The sequence below is a fragment of the Homo sapiens genome, chromosome 3 (assembly GCF_000001405.40).
Source record: "Homo sapiens chromosome 3, GRCh38.p14 Primary Assembly".
NCBI lineage: Eukaryota > Metazoa > Chordata > Mammalia > Primates > Hominidae > Homo > Homo sapiens.
In genome coordinates this window covers 57124450-57144156 of record NC_000003.12, presented here as the reverse complement: position 1 = coordinate 57144156, position 19707 = coordinate 57124450, and the positions used below count along the sequence as shown (strand labels likewise).

Genomic DNA, 19707 nt, shown 5'->3' with positions numbered 1-19707 from the left:
ACAAGTTGTTTTGGGAAGGGACCGTGGTTGAAACCAGTGCCTCCACCTGCAGCAGTTTACTAGGGGCTCTTTGCCCTCATTCTGCCCTGGGCTGATTGAAGCTTCAGCCACCTTTGCAGAAAGCTCTTGGCTTCTGGTGAGAACATCTTGAAATGGGCCTAATATCTGTGGAAACTGAAAAATGAGACCAATGGTGTGGACTATTTCCACAGTTCTGATATGCCTCTTGCCCCTGTAGGTACAGAAATATTTAATTCCAAATAATTGACTTGAGTTGTAACGCTGTGTTCTAATTTGGAAACGTGAAGCTGACCACTTCCAGAAGGTGCCCCCCTCGCCTTCACTCAGAAAAGCCGGGTGTGTCTCTTCCACCCGAACATCACTGCCCTAGGCACATTGCACTCATTTTCCTAGGGCCTGGCCCTGGACTCTGCACATCCTGGGAGCTCTATGAAGAAGGGCAGGATTACCCTATTGAGTACAGATATTCCTCTCACACACATTGAGGGCTTTGCATTAAAGTGGTTTATGTGGGGCCAGCGTTTTTGGGTGCATATGAAGCCTAGGGGATTTGTGACTTGGCAGATTTGTGTGTAAGCACAGCTCCCCAGCCTCCTGCCTACTTCTGATAGGGGTACTGGCAGCCTTCAGGGACTGAGGCTGTAGACCCTGGAGATGTTCCTTGCACTCTAGGGAGGCAGTAGCAGGGCACCTTCAGGACTGGCTCCTCTGAGGGAGTCCCTGTTTTTACCTCATCACTGATGAGAATGACGTAGCCTTTGTTGAGATTGTCGTAGCCTTTGTTGAGATTGTCAAGGTAGAGTGGAGATAGGTCCCTCCAGCACTGAGACAGTTTTGTGCCTGTGCAAACAAAATACTTCAAAAAGGATACTGCCCCTGCCTCCATCCTGGTGTAAGGTGGCAGAAGGAAGCAGTGGCTGACAGCGGAGTTAAACACACTTTAAGGTAGGTCAAATTTTTGACATACCGTTTTCCTCTGCCGTACCAGCAGCTGCTCTCTACTTTGAAAGGGGGCTTAGCTGCTCACATAAACTTTGGTTTGTGATAATGTAAACTATTATTAGGATTATCTTTTTATTCATAATATATGCCTGATTCTCTGTCTACTTTATTTATGCTCCGTTTGAAACACTCATTTACCTTCAATACTCAGAGCCAGCATCAACCCCTCTGAAAATGAAGGGAAACTTTATAACAGATTATTTAAATCTCTCTGTGGTTAAAAAGGACTCTGGGAATGAAATCATTGGGTTGAGGAAGCTTCAAATCTCAGCAAAGCTTCCAGGTTAAAACTGGGATGCGATGTTGACAAAACATTCCAGTTTAAAGTTTTTTTTTTTAAATGAAGCTTTATCCCCAGGGTGGTGGTTTTCATAAAGAAATGCTTGATTCTCAGTTGAGAATTTTTGGCCTTCAAAGTCTCCTCTTCCCTCCCACCAACCTCCCCCCCGCCCCGCCCAACTTTTCATCACCACCTGGTGGAACCATTTGTCAATGAGGACGTTCTGGAAGTTAGAGAAGTTCCTGAGGCTCAGGTTGGCGACACCAACACAGCGGTCAGCCAGGCCCTATCTCCCTGCCAGGAGGCCGGAGTGGGGGAGGTCAGACGGGGCGGTTGGAGGGGGAGGGATGCCACGCGCTTCTGCCTCAGGTGTTCCTGCGTTGTTTGTCAGTGGAGAGCAGGTTAGTGGGTGAGCCAAGAAAAACCAATAAGTGTTTCAATTTTTAATAAAATGTCTCTCCTACCCTTTGTTTCTCCCTCCACTTCTCCACAAAAGAAAGAACAGAGTGAATTTTTAAGCACATCTGGACACTGTTTTTGTAAAACTTTTACCCTGAATTCCCAGAAGGAATGTATTGGCTCCCATTTTTCCAAGCAAAAACTGAAATGATTCCTTTGTTTATAAGTACTGTGCTTGCATAGTTTAATAAAACAGTAAAGAAAGGAATTGCACTGATTTGAAAACCTTTAGCTAGTCCGAAGCTTTGCCCTTTATGCCTCTCTTGAAGTCTTTGAGAGGTGCTAAAAGTTTATGGTTGGTTATTTTTGGTGTCAGTGGGAAAGGGAGAGTTAGGAAGGCTCCGTGTGTCCCTTTTTGAATTTTTTTTTTCCTGTGGCTATAAGAGCGTTTAGGCAATGGGGCAGGGGCTGCTCTTGGTCCTTGTTCCTCTGTTCTGCTTCCTCTACCATGCAGTGCCCTCTGGTGAAAACCGTGCAGATACAATCAGATAACAGTGTTCCAGATCTGAGAGCCCAAGGCCTGCGGTGGAAGACAAAATCCATCTTTTCCTTATCAGATAGTGTTTGTTTTTTTCTTAGGTGATTCTTCTGTAAGCCTATTGTTGCCAAGAAAATGAAGTTGATCTTTCATTAATACCAGTCTTATTAGGATGTTGGCATGGTGTTCTAGTATGGGGAGAATTGCAAAAGAAACTTAGAGTGTCAAGCTTTTTTTTTCCTCCCAGAAATGTTTATTATAACAAATATTAATAACATTTAGCAGTTTGTGTATACAGATAATGTACAAAAAATAGACCTTCAAAAATTTCTAATCTGAAGTGACAAATAATTAATGTTTAATAATCACTAGTTGTTCTGCTCAGGATTATATTCAATTGTATATAGTATTTTTAATTCAAACAATACATTAGAGAACAAAGAATATTTTAATGTTTATTCCATCCCTCAGAAATGAAAACTGCTAACAATACAAAAAATAGCTACATATTCCCTGAAAAATAAGTCCTCAGTGTCAAGCTTTTAAAGATGAAATACAGAGACATTTGCTATTTTGGGGAACTTGTAAGATGACATGGTTCTGTTCAGACCGGTGGTTATAGAAGTTCTTTTTTATGCCCTCAAAAATTATGTTTTTTAATTAAAGTTATATTGTCAGGAAAACATCAGCATACTGTGGTTAAGTTATGAGGGTCGGCTGGGTGCTGTGGCTCACGTCTGTAATCCCGACACATTGGGAGGCTTAGGCAGGAGGATTGCTTGAGCCCAGGAGTTTCAGCCCAGCCAGGGCAACATAGCAAGACCCCATCTCTACAAAGAATGAACTTTTAAAAATTAGCCAGGCATGATGGTACACGCCTGTAGTTCTCCCAGCTACTTAGAAGGCTGAGGCAGAGGATCGTTTGAGCCCAGGAGTTGGAGGCTGCAGTGAGCCATGATTGTACCACTGTACTCCAGCCTGGGCAACAGAGTGAGACCTTGTCTCCAATTAAAAAAAAAAAAAGTGTGAAGGTCAGTCACAGCTCTGCTACTGCATAATAAATGTTCATTAGTGATAAGCATTGAACCAGTGTAATAGTTACTGTTTCCTAGAATATTACTTTCCCTAGACCTGTTCTGGGTGTCTGGAAATAAATTCTAGAGGTGTAATATTCCCAGAGTAGACCTCATCTCAGAGATCAATCAAATTTCAGAGATGACCACACCTCAGCTTTTCTACACTACTTTTGAGAAAGAAAGTTGTTAGCCATGATGCCAAAACTGACCCACTAAGCCTTTCGGGGCTATGGATGTACATCTGTCAAATGGCAGCAAATGTTGAATAATGCCCAAAACAGGATGGTCTGAAAATTAATACTTGTATTAGTGCCATCATGCAAACATTCACCATTTTTGTGAGCTTTTAACAAAAATGGTTTGCCTGAATTGAAATCTAATTCGATAACTTTGAGTCCTACTGATACCATTCTAGCCAATCTTTTGAACTTTTATTTCTCTTTGAGTTCTGGGAAATTGTCAGTTATTCTAAATGCTAGCTCGTAGACCAGTTGGTTAGGAGTATCTGGTTAAAAAAAATGACCTGATTTAGAGCTCGTAGTTCAGTGTGGGTAGTCTCTACATTTTCCATGTAGCATTGTTTCAAAAACTGCAAAAAGGTATATTTTAACAGTGGTTCAAACTGTAAAGTGCTGAGCAGATCTTGGGGAACATCAAGACATGGGTTCTCTGTGTTCTTCTCCATAATGTGGGAGATTAGAGGGCTGTCTGGCAGAATTGTGAGCTCTGAGCACAGCCTTGCCTCTAAGGTGCCCGGCTCGGTATCTTTATGCAGAAGCCTGACAGTGAACTAGCAGTCTTTTCAGTACTTTTTTCCAGGGCCAGATTTTTTTTTTTAAGTTTTAAACATATGAAAACATTTGATTCAAATGGTCCTAATAATATGTTTTCTATTTTTCCTGTAAAACCAGGAGTTGAGTTTGAATAACAGCAGAAAACTTAGGAATTAATATAGAGGAGCTATTTTAAATGATCTAGCAGTATAATTATTTGCTCAGAGATTTGTGTAATCAAAAAGGTTTTCAGCCAGGCGAGGTGGCTCACACCTGTAATCCTAGCACTTTTGGAGGAAGGCTGAGGTGGGCGGATCACCTGAGGTCAGGAGTTCAAGGCCAGCCTGGCCAACATGGTGAAACCCTGTCTCTACTAAAAATACAAAAATTAGCCTGGCGTGGTGGCACGTGCCTGTACTCCCAGCTACCCAGGAGGCTGAGGCAGGAGAATCACTGGAACCAGGAGGCAGAGGCTGCATTGAGCTGAGATCATGCCACTGCACTACAGCCTGGGAGACAGAGCAAGACCCCGTCTCAAAAAAAAAAAAAAAAGGAAATTTTCATTGCATGTACCCCATAAATAATATACACATATTTGTATATATAATATTCACACTCAAATTCACATTCAGTTCAAAATTACACAAAAATTCAAAATAAAAAATTTAAACAAAGGAAAAAGTTTAAAAAGCATTTAAAAAGATGGTTTTCATGTTGAAAACATCCATCTTGACATTCTTTTACCCGTAGCCTGTTTAATATTCTTTATTTTGACTGTATTTCATTCTCCTACTTTGCCAAACTCACTTTTTCAATCTTTTTCCTCCATGCGTGCCCTAACTATGGGTAGTCTCACAAAGCCCAATTCCTGGCTTTTTGTTATTTTTTTACACTTTCTGTTAATTTTGTATACCTCTTATGAATTAGCCTATCTGTCCTTAAGTTTCTGTGGCATGCCGTCATACATGACGTCCTGCCTTTTAATCCTGCATTTCTCCCCTCCCCCCAAAATATATGATATTGTAAAAAGATAGTAGGCACCTCACTTTCACTGTTTTTCTGCAGCCTACTTTTTAAAAAAAGACCCTCTTTCCCCAGTGTTCTCTTTTTTTTTTTTTTTTTTTTTTTGAGATGGAGTTTTGCTCCTGTTGCCCAGGCTGGAGTGCAATGGTGCAATCTCAGCTCACTGCAACCTCTGCCTCCCGGGTTGAAGCTATTCTCCTGCCTCAGCCTCCTGAGTAGCTGGGATTACAGGCATGCACCACCATGCCCAGCTAATTTTTTGTATTTTTTTAGTAGAGATGGGGTTTCTTCATGTTGGTCAGGCTGGTCTCGAGCTCCCAACCTCAGGTGATCTGCCTGCCTTGGCATCCCAAAGTGCTGGGATTACAGGTGTGAGCCACCGCACCTGGCCCCCAGTATTCTCGTTATTGCCTTAAAATCACTATCTTCCGACTTCCCCAAATAAGAGCCTGCAGGTCACCTTTGAATATTTCATCATCACCTCGGTATTGTATTTGTCACCAAGTCCTGCTATTTTTTCCTTAAAAATGCCTCTCAGACCTGTCCTTTGATCCTCATCAGTACATTGCTGTCCCTGTCATGTTATATGTGGACTGCTGCAGTTGCTGGCTATCTGGTCTACCTCGCTCCAGTCTTCCACCCTCTAGTCTCTAGTTCTTCCTGCATATGTGGCCCTAACACTGTTTTGTTGTTATCATTCCTTTCCTGGTTCAGTTTCCTTTAATGTTTTTTGTTTGTTTGTTTTGTTTTTACTTTTTTCTTTATTGTGTTGAAATACACATAACATAAAATTTACCATTTTAACCATTTTAAATGTACAGTTCAAAGATTTTTAAGTAAATTCACAATGTTTTGCAACCATCACCACCATCCACCTGTAGAACTTTTTCACCTTCCTAAATGGAAATTCCATAACCATTAAACAATAACTCCCCATTCTCCTCTCCCCGCAGCCCCTGGCTATCTCTATTCATGTCTCTATGAATTTGACTGCTCTAAATACCGCATATAAATGTAGTCATACAGTATTGTCCTTTCTGTCCTTTTGTGCCAATGTCAAATTTTTAAAGATTGTTTTTAGTGGTCTTGATCTGTAGGGAAGTTGATGAAGATTTGGTAAAAGCTAACAAAGGGCCTTTGCTTTGAGTCTTCTTATCTCTTTAGTATTTAATGAGCTCTGTTTGGAAGCATGACACTGGTTTACTCTGAGTACAGACAGGAAAGTCAAGGTGTGTAAGAGCAACAGGGGAAGATTAGAGACTCCCAACTTAGGCCTCTGTGGCACTAACCTAATACCAAAAGTTTTTTGTCATGGAGGGAAGAGAAGTGAAAATTGGAAGCGGCTGGTGACCAGGACTCACCTTCCTCCTTCTTAAATACCTTCCATCTGTATTAGGGGCAGGGAATCAATTTCCATCTTGAAATGGATATGTGTTTTGAGACCCCAGCTCCAGTCTTCTGTTTTATAAGTGTCACTTCTGCTCTCCAGGCCCTGGGGTTTGACTCATCCCATCTGTTCAATTCTTGGGTCCTTTGGATTCATCCTTTGAAGCTGCTGTTTCATTGCCTCTTTCTTCCTTCCTCATCTCCCCACCTACCCCATTGCCACCTTGGCCTGTATCAGAGACCTTTTCCCTGTGCTTCTGTCTGCCAAATCTAGGCTTGTGCTCACATCTGTAAGGACCACTGTATTTGGATCTTGCCTGTCTCCAAGATGTACCACATGCAAAGCTGAACCCACTTGGCTATTTCAGCCCTATGGTGCCCATCTTTTCAGGCCAGTTGGGGGTGTCTAACACAGAAGCAATGAGGGTGTGTTGGTCACTTCCAGGGATGTGGGAAGTGTTTATTCTGGATGACCAGGAAGACTCTGTGTCATCCCTGAGAAATAGCAACCATTTCCTGAATGCTTACCATGTGTTGGGCACTGGGTGGTACAGTTGGTAGCACAAGCTCCTGGGTCTGTGTTTGCTTGAAATAAACTTCCTTCCCCTCCGCAACCCCAAAGCTTGACATGCCTCCTCTGAAGACACTTCTCTGGCTAGCCTTCCTCTGTTCAATTACCCCTTGTCTGAAATCTTATTACACATAGAGCTCAGTGGCATAACTTAGCCCATTCATTCTAGGCAGTGTAACCTTATCTACTGTAGTTTCGTGTCTTTTAGCTTTGTTTTCCAAAACTAATTGTAAACACCTAGAGGCAGGGGTCTAGTTTAGCCTTATTCTCACTCAAAATGGCTTTCCCAAGTGCAAAAGCATATTTCAAGCTCTTGAGACATCTGGTTGATAAATCCTGGGGCATTTGCAGAGGTTTTTCATGGATAAATGAGAAGGAGAGAATCCTAAAAGCAAGTTAAATATTGCTTTTAGATCAGCTAAGTTTTTTTTTTTTTTTTTTTTTTTGAGTGGGGGTTGGGGGCGGGGGAGGGGTAGACAGAGCTTTGCTCTGTTTCCCAGGCTGGAGTGCAGTGGTGCAATCACTGCATCCTCAACCTCCTGGGCTCAAGAGATCCTCCTCAGCAGCTGGGACTACAGGCGTATGCCACCACACCCAGCTAATTATTCTTATTTTTCATACAGATGGGGTCTATGAGATGGAGTCCAGGCTGGTCTTGAATTCCTGGTCTCGAGCATTCCTGCTGCCTTGGCCTCCCAAAATGCTGGGATTACAGGTGGGAGCCACCATCCCTGGCCAGGCTGTTTTTGAGGCAGAGCTCATTCTTTCTTCTTCCACACCTGGGCTACATATGTGTTGTGATTCTAATCACAAAATGGAATTTACCGTTTTTTACCAGTGAGTGGTTTTTATCTCCTTAGCTTGATCTGTAAAATCAAGCCACCCTGACTCTCTGGAAAGAGTTGGAGGTCTTAGGTTTCCACACGGCTGTAATGTGATTGTTGTGCTGGAGAGAGGAAGACATTGTTATCTGCTTCCTGGATTTGCCAGTTTCCCTTTTAATTTTACACAGTTCTGTTATTCACTGGAGACCAGTCATCTAATCATAAAATCCCCTACATTTATGTAATTTTAAAGAAACATACAGGATAAATTATAGTAATTTGGTTACCCTGCAGAACAGCGTTTAGGATACCCACATCAATAGGCAACCTACCAGCGTATCAACGTGTGTATACTGTGCAAGTAGCCTTGTCACCGTGTCCTCTTGCCTTTTCCATGTACACAGCCGGCTCTGGAGCAGGTGACGGGGCCTGCTATACTACTTCCTACTAATGGTGTTTTCCCTTTGTAGAAAATGATGGTTGATGACAGTTGATAAGACCCTTAGAAAGAATTTTGCCCAGTGGTCCTAACTCACTTTATTAGGCTCTTTTTGTTATTTCCTCCATAGATCTTACATATTTCACCCAGAAGGAACTGCATTAACTGATAGCTGGTGGAGATTTATGAGAGCAAATGTTATATATATTAGGATCTAATTTATGTCAAGTCACAGTCCATGTGATGCAGGCAGTAAAGACCGTCTGGAAGAGTCTTCTTCAAAATGATGGAATGGGAGAAGTTTCATATTCTTCTTTGTACTTAATTTTATTTTACCTTGAACTTGTTATCTTTACAAAAATAATAAAGCTGTCTTCAAAAGAAAAGCCTACAGTTCTAGAAACTTGAAAACCCACTCTTAGGGAATCTCTGAGAATCATTGAGCATCCCACCACTTCGCAGGCAGTTGGGGAAGTGGCAGGCAGGAAGTGGCACATCCTGGCCTGGCCTTCTGCCTCCTCCCAGCCTCCTGCCCACCTTGCTCTGAACCTGCTGTGCCTTTGGGGCTTCACCTCCTCAGTGCTCCAGGAAATGCTTGAATCTGTGTCCCTAGAAGCAGTGCTGCTCACCTGACAGCTTGGCCTCACACTGACCCAGCTCCCCATTCTTTGTTTTTTTTGTGTGTTTTTTGTTTGTTTGTTTGTTTTTGTTTGTTTTGAGACAAGGTCTTGCTCTGTTGCCCAGGCTGGAGGGTAGTGGAGTGATCATGGCTCACTGCTACTTCCATCTCCTGGGCTCAAGCCATCCTTCCATATCAACCTCCCAAGTAGCTGGGACTACAGGTGCATGCCACCATACCTGGCCAATTTTTGTGTTTTTGTTGGTAGAGATGGGGTTTCACCATGTTGTCCAGGCTGGTCTGAAACTCTGGGGCTCAATAATCCCCCTGCCTCAAAGTGCTGGGATTGCAGGATTGAGCCACCACACCTAGCCCCCATTCTTAGCTTATTTATTTATTTATGGCAGGTAAAGGCTTGTTTTATTTTAGTGGTTGATCTACGTAATCGCTGAGGCCAGTATGTACAGACAAAGGGGGAGCTTTCACTTCTCGGTCTCTTCCTCCTTAGACAAAGTCTTGATGATCTCCTCCTTGGCCTGTAGGCGGTCTTCATGGTGCTTGCGTGCTTCCTTGGTCTTAGACCTGCGGGCCTTAGCCTGGTCAGCCTGCAGCTTCTTGTGGGCCTTGTCTGCCTTCAGCTTGAGGATGTGTTCCATGAGAATCCACTTGTTTTTGAACACATTCCCCTTCACCTTCAGGTACAGGCTGTGATATGTGTGGTGATCAATCTTCTTAGATTCACAGTATCTTCTCAGCAGCCAGCACAGAATCCGCATTCTCCTCATCCAAGTTACGTTCCCTGGCATTTGGGCATTGGCTGTACCCTTTCGCTTACTTATGCCCATGTGCCTGCCCTTCCAGCGGGCCAAGGTGTTTTCCCGGCATCAAGCCCGGGAATGGAAAGTCACAGGTTTGTAGATGATCAGCCCATCTTTGATCAGCTTCTGGATCTGCTGATGGAAGTTGGCATTGGCGATTTCATTGGTCTTATTGGGGTCCAACCAGACCTTCTTCTTGCCACAGCAGAGGACACTAAAGGCGAGCCTCATCTGAAACCTGAGCATACTCATGGCTGTGGCCGCAGCAGCGAAAGCAATGAGCTCCCCGATTCTTAGTTTAAAGTCAGTTTAGCCAGAACCTTTGGACTTTCCTTTAAAAAAGAATTAATCACTGCTTTTAATCTTTTCTGGTTAGCTTCTGTTTCATGCTAACTTCATGACAAAATGTTACAGGTTTCTAATTTAATTTCACCATATTACTTTGATTTTGTAAACATTTCTCCATGGGAAGCCTTAATGAAGTGGCAAGATACATTGATTTCTTTCTGTTGACAGGTGAAGGGACAAGGTTGTATGTGCCATTTACTTGCCTCAGCCCTATAGGAGAGGACTAGGAACACACCACCAGGCCCACTTCATCAGGGGTGGAAATATGCTCCTACCTGCTGTTCCATCTGCTGCGTCTGCCTCACAATGGATTTGCTTTATAATTGACCTCTCTATACCACTCCTTGCCAGAAATCCTTGGAGAGGGAGTGCAGGGAGACCTTAATTCCTGGGAACACCCCACTGCCTTCTTCACCCACAAAAAAGACATTTATCAAAATCTAAAATTGACCAAGACATCAGTACTTCATTTTTACATCATTCTTTGCCTTCTCCGAATGACATTTTAGTGGTTCAAGGAAATTAAAACAAAGCTGAATACTCCTTGGCAAGCATAATTATTTCCTGGCCTAAATGTCATACAATGATTTAATTGGTATGTCATTGTGTGTATGTGTGTTTGCATGTGTGTGTGTGTGCTTTAATGGAAATTCCATGTGGTATCTTTGGGAAATTAGGAAAGAGAGTCTTCTAGATTTATTGCTTATAGTTTAAGAACAGACTGCTGGCTTCCATCCAAATAGTAGGACGATGTAAAGTTACAGGGATCATTAGTGTTTGAATATATCCTTCCGATTGCCTGCTATTTTAAAATTAGTTTGGCAAAAGGTAAAAGTCAGAACTGACAGTGAAATTTTTTACGCTTTGAAACTTGTAACATTCATCAAAATAAACTTGTGGGGGACTTGGCATCATGTAAGCGATGGTGTCCTTTGCTTTATACCAACATCTTAATTTTGAAGCTGAATGAGTTTTGCTGTGGCTGGAGTAGGAGTCAGAGACATAGATTATTCATTTTGGAAAGTTGGAATTTTAGATTATCCTTCATAGTGGCTCATGCACAGATACTATAAAATATATCCCAAACCCAACTCAGTTTTGTGTGTTGACCGCAAATACCATACTCTGCAAAGGCAGTTGAGCAGGAGTGGGAAAATCAGCTGTTTTCTTCATCTAGTGGACACTATGAGTATTTTCCTCCACACTCAGTGATGAAAAAAAAAGAATAAGAATTAGCCACATCCTAGTTCACTTTTTATCTTGATTCAGTGCAACTGACTTGGCTGCAGACATAACTGTTGTCACCTGTGATCCGAAAGGTGCTAGATACCTCTGTCTTGATGGGTTTATGTGCTCAACAGTGTAAGTTGTTGCCTTTCATGTTTCTACTTTGTAAAGTTCATGAGTCCCAGCATCTTGGACAAAGTGTTTAGTTACTGAGTTGTAACAAATACTGCCTATAAAGGATTACAGTTGGATGGCATTAATCCAATAATTATATTTAAAATGGAGATTTTACATCAACCACTTCCCTCCCCCATTAGAATTTTTTGTTTGTTTTTGTTGTTGTTGTTGTTTTTGAGACAGAGTCTTACTCTGTCGCCCAGGCTAGAGTGCAGTGGTGCGATCTCGGCTCACTGCAACCTCTGCCTCCTGGGTTCCAGCGATTCTCCTGCCTCAGCCTCCCGAGTAGCTGGGATTACAGGCAGGTGCCACCACGCCTGGCTAAATTTTTTTTTGTATTATTAGCCATGTTGACCAGGCTGGTCTCGAACTCCTGACCTTGTGATCCCCCAACTTCGGCCTCCCAAAATGCTGGGATTACAAATGTGAGCCGCTGCGCCCGCCCCTTCTTTTACAGTGTCTTGCTCTGTCACCCAGTCTGGAGTGTGGTGGTGTGATCTCGGCTCACTACGGTCACAACCTCCTTGGCTCAAGCGATCCCCCTGCCTCAGCCTCCCAAGTAGCTGGGACCACAGGTGTGTACCACCATGTCTGGCTAATATTTTTGTACTTTTTGTAGAATGGGTTTCACCGTTTTGCCCAGGCTGGTCTTAAACTCCTGAGCTCAAGCAATCCGCTGGCCTCCGCCTCCCAAAATGCTGGGATTACAGGTGTGAGCCACCATGGCTGGCCTGAATTTTGTTTTTAATCACCGAAGTAAAACCACTCTCTATTATTCAACAGACGTAGCTTTAAGCTATCAAGCTATTGAGTGGAGCTGGACTATAAGGCAGGTGAGAGGTCTGGGGGCTTCAGGGGTCCAGAAGCCTCCTGAAAATACCATGTGCCAATGTGTGTGCACACATGCACCACAGTTCTCCCCCAAATAAAAAGCTGTGAGTCTTGGTAATGAGGGGTAAATGAGAGCAAAGTGATTTTGGCCTTGGTGGTGATAGTATTGCCAAGAGAGGGATGACGGTAGGATTGCAGCTGTATAGCAACTCACACTCACCCCGTTTTCAGATCTCACCAGTGTTTTTCTGAAGGCCTCAGGATATCACTCAAACCTTCAAAGTCCTTGCATCTTGAGGCCAAACTTTGTACTTCAGTCCATGAACACATGAACAGAGTGCACCTGTGGTTGATGGGCATTGGGCTGGGTGTGGCACAGCCTGGGACTCCTGTTGGCTGAATACTTTCACCTTTCTTTGTTTCACCCTTCTTAAGGCAGGACGGTGGTATTTTGTAACCAGTGGGCACTCAGCGAGTGTGAGTTGCATGCTTATACTGAAAGGTTCTAGGAAATCAGGTTTGGAGGCTCTTTCTGTAGAAAGGCAGTGCTGCTCGCCCAACATTGAGACTTGATATTTCTCCCAAGTAACTGGGATTCCCACAGCTTGGGGAGAATCAAGACAGTTGAGAGTGGTGGGCTGGAGGAACAGCTGAGGTAGGAGGGGGTGGGGGAGGGGAAGCTTGTTCACATGCTTGTTAACATTTAAGGGTCTTTGACAAAGGAAGTCTAATGCCTTGCCCCGGTCAGCCGGTGATTGCCCCCCGGGAGGCCCCGTTGTGCACAGGAAGTCAGACACTAATGATGTTAGCGAGGGGACAAAGGCGCCTGGCCTGGGAAGGGTCTAATTGCTGTGTCCGGCTCCCAGGCGGCTGGCCTCAAGCTGGTGGGGGCTGGGCAGGATGCGCTAAGTGTTAACACCTGGAGCCGGCACTGCTGACTTCCTGGTGCTTTTTTGTTGTTGTTGTTGGCTTTGTGGCTGGGCACACATACTGACAACACACACACTCAAAGGCATTCAGAAACCCTGACTGCATCTCAGGGGGATGTTTCAGGACTTGCTATCTAAGAGACTAGATGGAAATGGTTTGATCAGGAGGTAACACCGTGAGTGTCACCCCTGGGCCGGGCAGGGCCGTGAAACAGGAGGCTTTACTCCTGTTTCTCCTCCCATCTGCCCGTCAGAGCTTGGTGACTGTGGCTTCACCTCTGGGCTGACTACTTCCCTCTCCCCCAGAAAGCTTCTGGGAAAGGCCAGACCTTGCAGAGAGAGGCAGATACTTATTAGAAGGGTCACTCTGGCTTTAGCTTAGAACATTCTAGTCAGAATGAATGGGAGAATATTCACTCCTGGAGGACAGAGAGAACCAGCTGGGGTCACCCAAGGGTGGTTATGGTATATGTGTGGATATTTTATATATTGCTATTTGAATTCACACCTGGAGAGGTAGTTGGAGGGTCTGCATCCCAGGGAACTGGCAAAGCCAAGATGCACCCTTTGATTTCTGAGTGGGGTCTTGGGATTTTTTGTGTCTAAACATGGCTTTGGACCTGGGGGCCTGTGAACCCCTCAGAGGCCCTTGGGTGGCCTTCATGAGCTCTGGGAACCTCCCAAAATTGTGTATGAAAAGTTTCTGGGGGAAATTGGGTAAGGATTATTTTTCACAGGATTCTCCAAAGGTTCTAGTAAACTTTTCCTCTTAACAAAAACAGGGTCATCAGTAATTAAAAGCAAATACACCCTGCCTTGGCCAGTAGCCCTGCAGGGTGGGATTAGAGGTTCAGTTCAGCAAGGGTAAGGCTACCTGGAGCCTGAGGTGGGCTACTAATGGCAGGCAGTTTTGAGCACAGGTTGACTCACTTGGATTTTTGCAGCTAGAGAACAGGGGCATTTAAAAGGATGCTTGAAGCCTGTCTCCTTCCTAGAGAAAGTGGGGGAAAGCCACACATTTTGAAAAAGGGCCTAATGCTGACTTACTGCTTCCCACTGTTATTTTAAGGTTTTTCTGTCCGAGACCACCATGTGGACAGACTTAATCGGCTGACAGAAGGGGTTGCCTTGCTTTCTAGCATGTCCTGTAATATTTCCATTAACACTGAAACCTAAAATGATGGCCTTCCATAATTTCCAAATATGCGAAATCCACCTTGAAGGAAATGTGCGTGGGGCTTGCCGGGGACCTGTTGGGGTGGAGGAGGCTGGGTCCCCATGGCAACGTCACAATCCCCCATTTCTATAGGCATTTGTGCTGTAAAAGCAGAATTCCAGATGTGGCTTAGTATTTGGAGACTCAGTCCCTGTGCCTCGGAAACAGTGGTATTTGAAGTCAGCACAATTCGGTGCACCTCTCTGTGTGGTCCTAAGGCTTTTCATTAGTAGTTGTGTTTTGATCTGAACATTTCCTCTCAGCTTAGGCATAACAATCATGTTTATAGCTTTAAGTTTTCCTCTATTGTCTAATCACTATTTTGCCCTCATAGGAAGAGACTTTTTCGGCTTCTGGAGTGAAGTCTTTGTAACTGTTCCTTTCACGGCTAAGTGAGAGTGAGTCAGTAGCCGATTTGCTGGGTGGGTATTTGGGTGGTTGGTTGTTTGCTTCCTCTTTGTACCCAGTATTTATGGAAAAAGCATACACAGACACAGTTAATCTGAGTCTGTGTATGCTTTTTAAACTACAGATGGGTTGACTGTTACCTTAAAGATGCCAGTTCTCTAACATGCGGTTCTCATTTGAGTGGATGGGAGTGGTGTGCGAAGCGGAGGGAAAGGTCTGGCTCTCTGTCCATAGGCATGTTTTATAGCGTGTCTCTAACGTTTTCGGAATTGGAAAAATGGAACAATCCTGTCTATTTGTGATTATCAGCCATGGGAGAACACACAGCCCAGATCCTTAACAGACTAATTGGAAAAAGTACTTGAGTTTTTGCTTTGTGAGAACTAAAGAGACTGCACAACTTTGTTTTGCCTTGTTTTTAAACCCAGGGAGAAAGTTTGCTTGTGTGCATTGCGTGTGTGTGTGTCTGTGTTGATATCTCTGGGTTTTAGCTGCACGGCTGGTTCCAGTGGCAAAGCAATAAGAAAATCATAAAGTCAGGCGTGGGGAAGAACATTAAAAAATATATGCAGTTCCATTCAGGCCACCATCATTTAGAGAAGTTGCTGTCGGAGAAACAACTCACACCAATGTCCTAACATATCTTTATCTTTAGTGAATGGATTTCCTAACATATCTTTATCTTTAGTGAATGGATTTCGGGGGGCAAAGTGGGTGGAGGGGTGGGATAGTGAAAAGAAATTTGGATGAAAACTAGAGCTTTCAGTTTGATAAGCAGGACACATGGTAACTTGGCATGGGTCGGCCTCATGTTAGAGCTCAGAAACAATTGTCCCTTCAGCTTTCCTTTGGAGAGCGTGAAATTAGGAACATGTGTGTGCTGATTAGCAACATGTCAGAGATGAATCACGATTACGGCTTTGGTCTGGTGCACAGGCGGTGCTCTGGAGTAGTGATTTCCTACTTCCCCGAGCAAATCTCTTTAATTAGCTTAAGATCTCCGGGTCTTTTTGGGCCAATGTGGTAATTGCTGGTGGGAACCCAGCAGCACTCCCCAAGAGCTTGTGTGTTCCTTGCTACGCATCCAAGACCTCACCTCCAAATCAGACTGCTGGCATCCTTCATTTCTGAAGTTGGTTGCATCTCAATTTGAGAGAGAGAGAGAACAGCTCCTGGGAATGTGGAGAGAATATCTTGAACAGATCCAGGCCCAGGCTGGCTTTTGATTTATTTTCCCTGCGTTTTGCGTTCACCAGCATTCTCTTCAGCTTACATCACCTGGGGCTTCTCTGCCTTTGCCGACTTTTTGTTGTTGTTGTTAAAGGTTTGAACTGAAGTAAGTGGGGTCTATCTTTGTTTAGGAAACCATCTGAACTGGCATGGAGTCAAATGGCCCCATATTCTGCTTCGTCTCACCCTTCTCATGTCCATTGGTCAGAGACAAAGATGTTAGTCCCGTTGTACGTTTTAAGCCTCACAGCACTGTCTGCTGTTACACAGTGGAAGCCCAAGATGGAGAAAATTTTATAGAAAAACAGAAAGTATGGCTGGGCTTGGTGGCTCACGCCTGTAATCCCAGCACTTTGGGAGGCCAAGGCGGGCAGATCTCTTGAGATCAGGAGTTCGAGACCAGGCTGACTAACATGGGGAAACACCTGTCTCTACTAAAAATACAAAAATTAGCCAGACATGGTGGTGGGCGCCTGTAATCCCAGCTACTTGGGAAGCTGAGGCAAAAAAATCTCTTGAACCCAGGAGGTGGAGACTGCAGTGAGCCAAGATCACGCTATTGCACTCCAGCCTGGGCGACAAAGCAAGACTCTTATCTCAAAAAAAAAATATATATATATATATATTTATTTATTTATTTATTTATATATATATATTTATATTTATATATATTTATATATATTTTTATATATATTTATATATATTTTTATATATTTTTATATATATTTATATATATTTATATATATTTTTATATATATTTATATATATTTATATATATATTTATATATTTTTATATATATTTATATATATTTTTATATATATTTATATATATATATATATGAGTTGGCCTTAGTTTTAAGTAGTTACTAGGTGTACCTTTAAAAAAACCCATCTTCCGGCCGGGTGCAGTGGCTCATGCCTGTAATACCAGCACTTTGGGAGGCCAAGGCGAGTGGATCACCTGAGGTCAGGAGTTTGAGACCAGCCTGGCCAACATGGCAAAACCCTGTCTCTACTACAAATACAAAAATTAGCCAGGCATGGTGGTGGGCACCTGTAATCCCAGCTACTCGGGAGGCTGAGAGGGTAGGATCACTTGAACCTGGGAGGCGGAGGTTGCAGTGAGCCGAGATCTCACCACTGCACTCCAGCCTAGGCAACTAAGCAAGACTCCGCCTCAAAAAAAAAAGTCTTCTCAATTCTTTGTGCAAATGCTCTTATTTAAATTTTCACTCTAACTCTGTTCACTAAAACATTACTGGCTTTCTGAAAGTTCCTTACTTGATTTGAAAGTTTGGCCTGCCTTCCACTGGAAGAGGGGCGCTATATTTAGCACAGTTCTTGAAATGCATTTTTCCAAAATGGCAGTTAAGCTATGCTGGAGGTGAATTGGAAATGTTGCTCTGGGAAGTTAGTGTCTTCAAATGGCTTAGAATGCCCAAAGGCCCCTCAGGAAGTTGGCTGTCTGATCACCTTCATGGCTGCCCCTAGCTGCTGCCTGTGGATCCTGCTCCGCTGCCGGCCTCTCTGTATCCAGGCCTTTGCTTCTTTGCCATATATGGCTGGAGCATGGTGTGGGTTTTTAGCTTTTGAATTTTATTCATTTAGAGCACTTAAGGGTTATCCTCCCCTCCCTTCCTGAGTTAAAGATGTTTTCTCCATTATGTTGCCATTTGCTGCTTCCGTCCCTACTGACCATAGAGCACCAACCAAAGGAATTTCATAGCAGCACTCCAGACAGCCGGGGCTTGCTGCTTAGCTCCCTTTGGAACAAATTAAAAGCTACCCGTTAGTGCAGCAAATGGGGGTGCTTAATTAACTAAGAATGTGGCACCCTGAGTCCACTGCATTGGCATTTATAGTTTTCAAGTAACAGGCAACAAACAAGTATTTTTAATCGTCAGCTCATTAAATATCAAAAATGGTATAGTAGCTAAAAGCTTGGGATTGTTTCTTGAAGAACAGTTTACAAAGCTGGTCAACAGCCTTGTAAGTTGCCTTATCTGTTTTCTCTTAGTGTGGGCCCTCATTCTAAGCCCATAAATCAGTGTAACACCAAGCTAGGTTCTTGGGGTATATTACTTGGCTTAATAATGCATTCATTTATTCAGGCAGAAAACTTATACTTATCAAGGACTATGTGTCAGGCCCAGGACTGTAGGCAGGGGTTTTGAGGGCTGTCCTCCTCGACTCTGTCTTCAGCCTCTCCTTTTCCAATCCAACCTATGCCCTTAACAAAACTGGAGTTACTAGGCCTCCTTGACCATCTGTTGAATGCATTTTAGTCTGGTGATCAGTGCCTACCAATACCTTGCCCTGACCTGTCTGTCTGTCTTATCTTCCACAATCCTCCAAGGTTCTGGATGCAGAAGACAGATCACTCCTAGGAAATGCACCACCTGTGACCTTTCTCCAGTCTTCCTCATTATCTCTTTGTAACTTGTCCTGCAGTACAACTCTCACCTGCTTATTGAGGCAGTAACCTTCTTGGGAAGGATGACCTAAACATTTCTGAGGTTATTGTGTGTCAGATGCTATGCTGAGCACTTGATATATGTCATCTCACACAATGCTTTCCACAAAGTTTTATTCAAACACTTTTTTTTTTTCTTTAGAGATGGAGCCTCACTCTTTTTGCCTAGGCTGGAGTGAAATGGCGCGATCTTGGCTCACTGCAACCTCCACCTCCCAGATTCAAGCAATTCTCCTGTCTCAGCCTTCCAAGTAGCTGGGATTACAGGCACCCACCACCACGCCTGGCTAATTTTCGTATTTTTAGTAGAGGCGGGGTTTTACCATGTTGGCCAGGCTACTCTCAAACTCCTGACCTCGGGTGATCCGGCCGCCTTGGCCTCCCAAAGTGCTGGGATTACAGGTGTGAGCCACTGCACCCAGCCTATTCATATACTTTATAGCTCAGGGAGGTTCAGAAATTTACCCAGAGTCACACAGCTGGAAAGCTGGTGGTTTAGACACACATCTGCATAACTCCAAAACCAACTGTCTTAACCACTTTTCTACTTCTGGGGGTCAGCCCCAGGTCAGCCCACAGAAGCCTACATCTAGGACAGTAGAATCTCAAGCGGCAGCTCTGATGGGTGCATGTTCTATGCCTGCCTGAAGCTTGGGTTGGGGAGAACACAAGGACAGGGATCAGCTCCGGGTGTTGGGGGGCAGGGTGGAGGAATGACAGCACGTGCCGTGTGTGTGACATGGAGGTCTATTTTATCCATATTGCAGCTGAAATTATATGAGTGTATATTAGCTTTCAGTTGCTTCTATAATAAATTACCAAAACCTTAGTGGCTTAAAATGACTTACGTTTATTGTCTTATTATAGTTCTGGAGGTCAGAATTCTAAAACGGATCTTAATGTGGCCAAAATCAAAGTGTTGGCTGCGCTGGCTCCTTCTGGAGGCTGTAGGGGAGGATTCATTCCTTGCCTTTTTCAGTCTCCAGAGGCCGCCTGCTTTCTGTGGCTCCTTAGCTCCTCCTTCCTCCATCCACAAAACCAGTACTTAAAATCGATCTCTCTTTCTCTCTCTCCTCATTGCATTGTCACATGTCTTTGA

The 19707-nt window shown here is 43.7% G+C and overlaps 1 protein-coding gene and 1 pseudogene across 5 annotated transcripts in view, besides 6 other annotated features; one reads left to right on the top strand and one right to left on the bottom strand.

Moving 5' to 3' along the window:
* The window catches only part of IL17RD (interleukin 17 receptor D), an 80336-nt gene that overhangs the window by 26161 nt on the left and 34468 nt on the right, over positions 1-19707 (top strand). Inside the window, exon 1 of one of the 5 annotated variants that reach the window (XM_011533849.2) lies at positions 1671-1704. The exons of the other annotated variants lie outside the window; for them this stretch is intronic. The gene's annotated coding sequence lies outside the window, so the exon portion shown is untranslated. Of the gene's footprint in view, positions 1-1670; positions 1705-19707 lie in introns of those variants that run through there. 5 annotated transcript variants of the gene reach the window in all.
* Positions 9354-10054, bottom strand: RPL19P2 (ribosomal protein L19 pseudogene 2; annotated as a pseudogene).
* Positions 12257-13083: an enhancer, noted in NCBI's record as "OCT4-NANOG-H3K27ac-H3K4me1 hESC enhancer chr3:57165102-57165928 (GRCh37/hg19 assembly coordinates)". NCBI's record gives its function as "activates a minimal SCP1, AML or CMV promoter by ChIP-STARR-seq in naive and primed H9 embryonic stem cells {active_cell/tissue: H9 hESC(naive and primed)}" and the evidence as "EXISTENCE:reporter gene assay evidence [ECO:0000049][PMID:30033119]".
* Positions 13084-13909: an enhancer, noted in NCBI's record as "OCT4-NANOG-H3K27ac-H3K4me1 hESC enhancer chr3:57164276-57165101 (GRCh37/hg19 assembly coordinates)". NCBI's record gives its function as "activates a minimal SCP1, AML or CMV promoter by ChIP-STARR-seq in naive and primed H9 embryonic stem cells {active_cell/tissue: H9 hESC(naive and primed)}" and the evidence as "EXISTENCE:reporter gene assay evidence [ECO:0000049][PMID:30033119]".
* Positions 13910-14736: an enhancer, noted in NCBI's record as "OCT4-NANOG-H3K27ac-H3K4me1 hESC enhancer chr3:57163449-57164275 (GRCh37/hg19 assembly coordinates)". NCBI's record gives its function as "activates a minimal SCP1, AML or CMV promoter by ChIP-STARR-seq in primed H9 embryonic stem cells {active_cell/tissue: H9 hESC(primed)}" and the evidence as "EXISTENCE:reporter gene assay evidence [ECO:0000049][PMID:30033119]".
* Positions 13910-15562: a biological region, named in NCBI's record as "OCT4-NANOG-H3K27ac-H3K4me1 hESC enhancers GRCh37_chr3:57162623-57163448 and GRCh37_chr3:57163449-57164275".
* Positions 14482-14776: a silencer, noted in NCBI's record as "tiled region #8210; K562 Repressive non-DNase unmatched - State 21:Repr". NCBI's record gives its function as "represses a minimal TATA promoter and a strong SV40 promoter by Sharpr-MPRA in K562 cells {active_cell/tissue: K562}" and the evidence as "EXISTENCE:reporter gene assay evidence [ECO:0000049][PMID:27701403]".
* Positions 14737-15562: an enhancer, noted in NCBI's record as "OCT4-NANOG-H3K27ac-H3K4me1 hESC enhancer chr3:57162623-57163448 (GRCh37/hg19 assembly coordinates)". NCBI's record gives its function as "activates a minimal SCP1, AML or CMV promoter by ChIP-STARR-seq in primed H9 embryonic stem cells {active_cell/tissue: H9 hESC(primed)}" and the evidence as "EXISTENCE:reporter gene assay evidence [ECO:0000049][PMID:30033119]".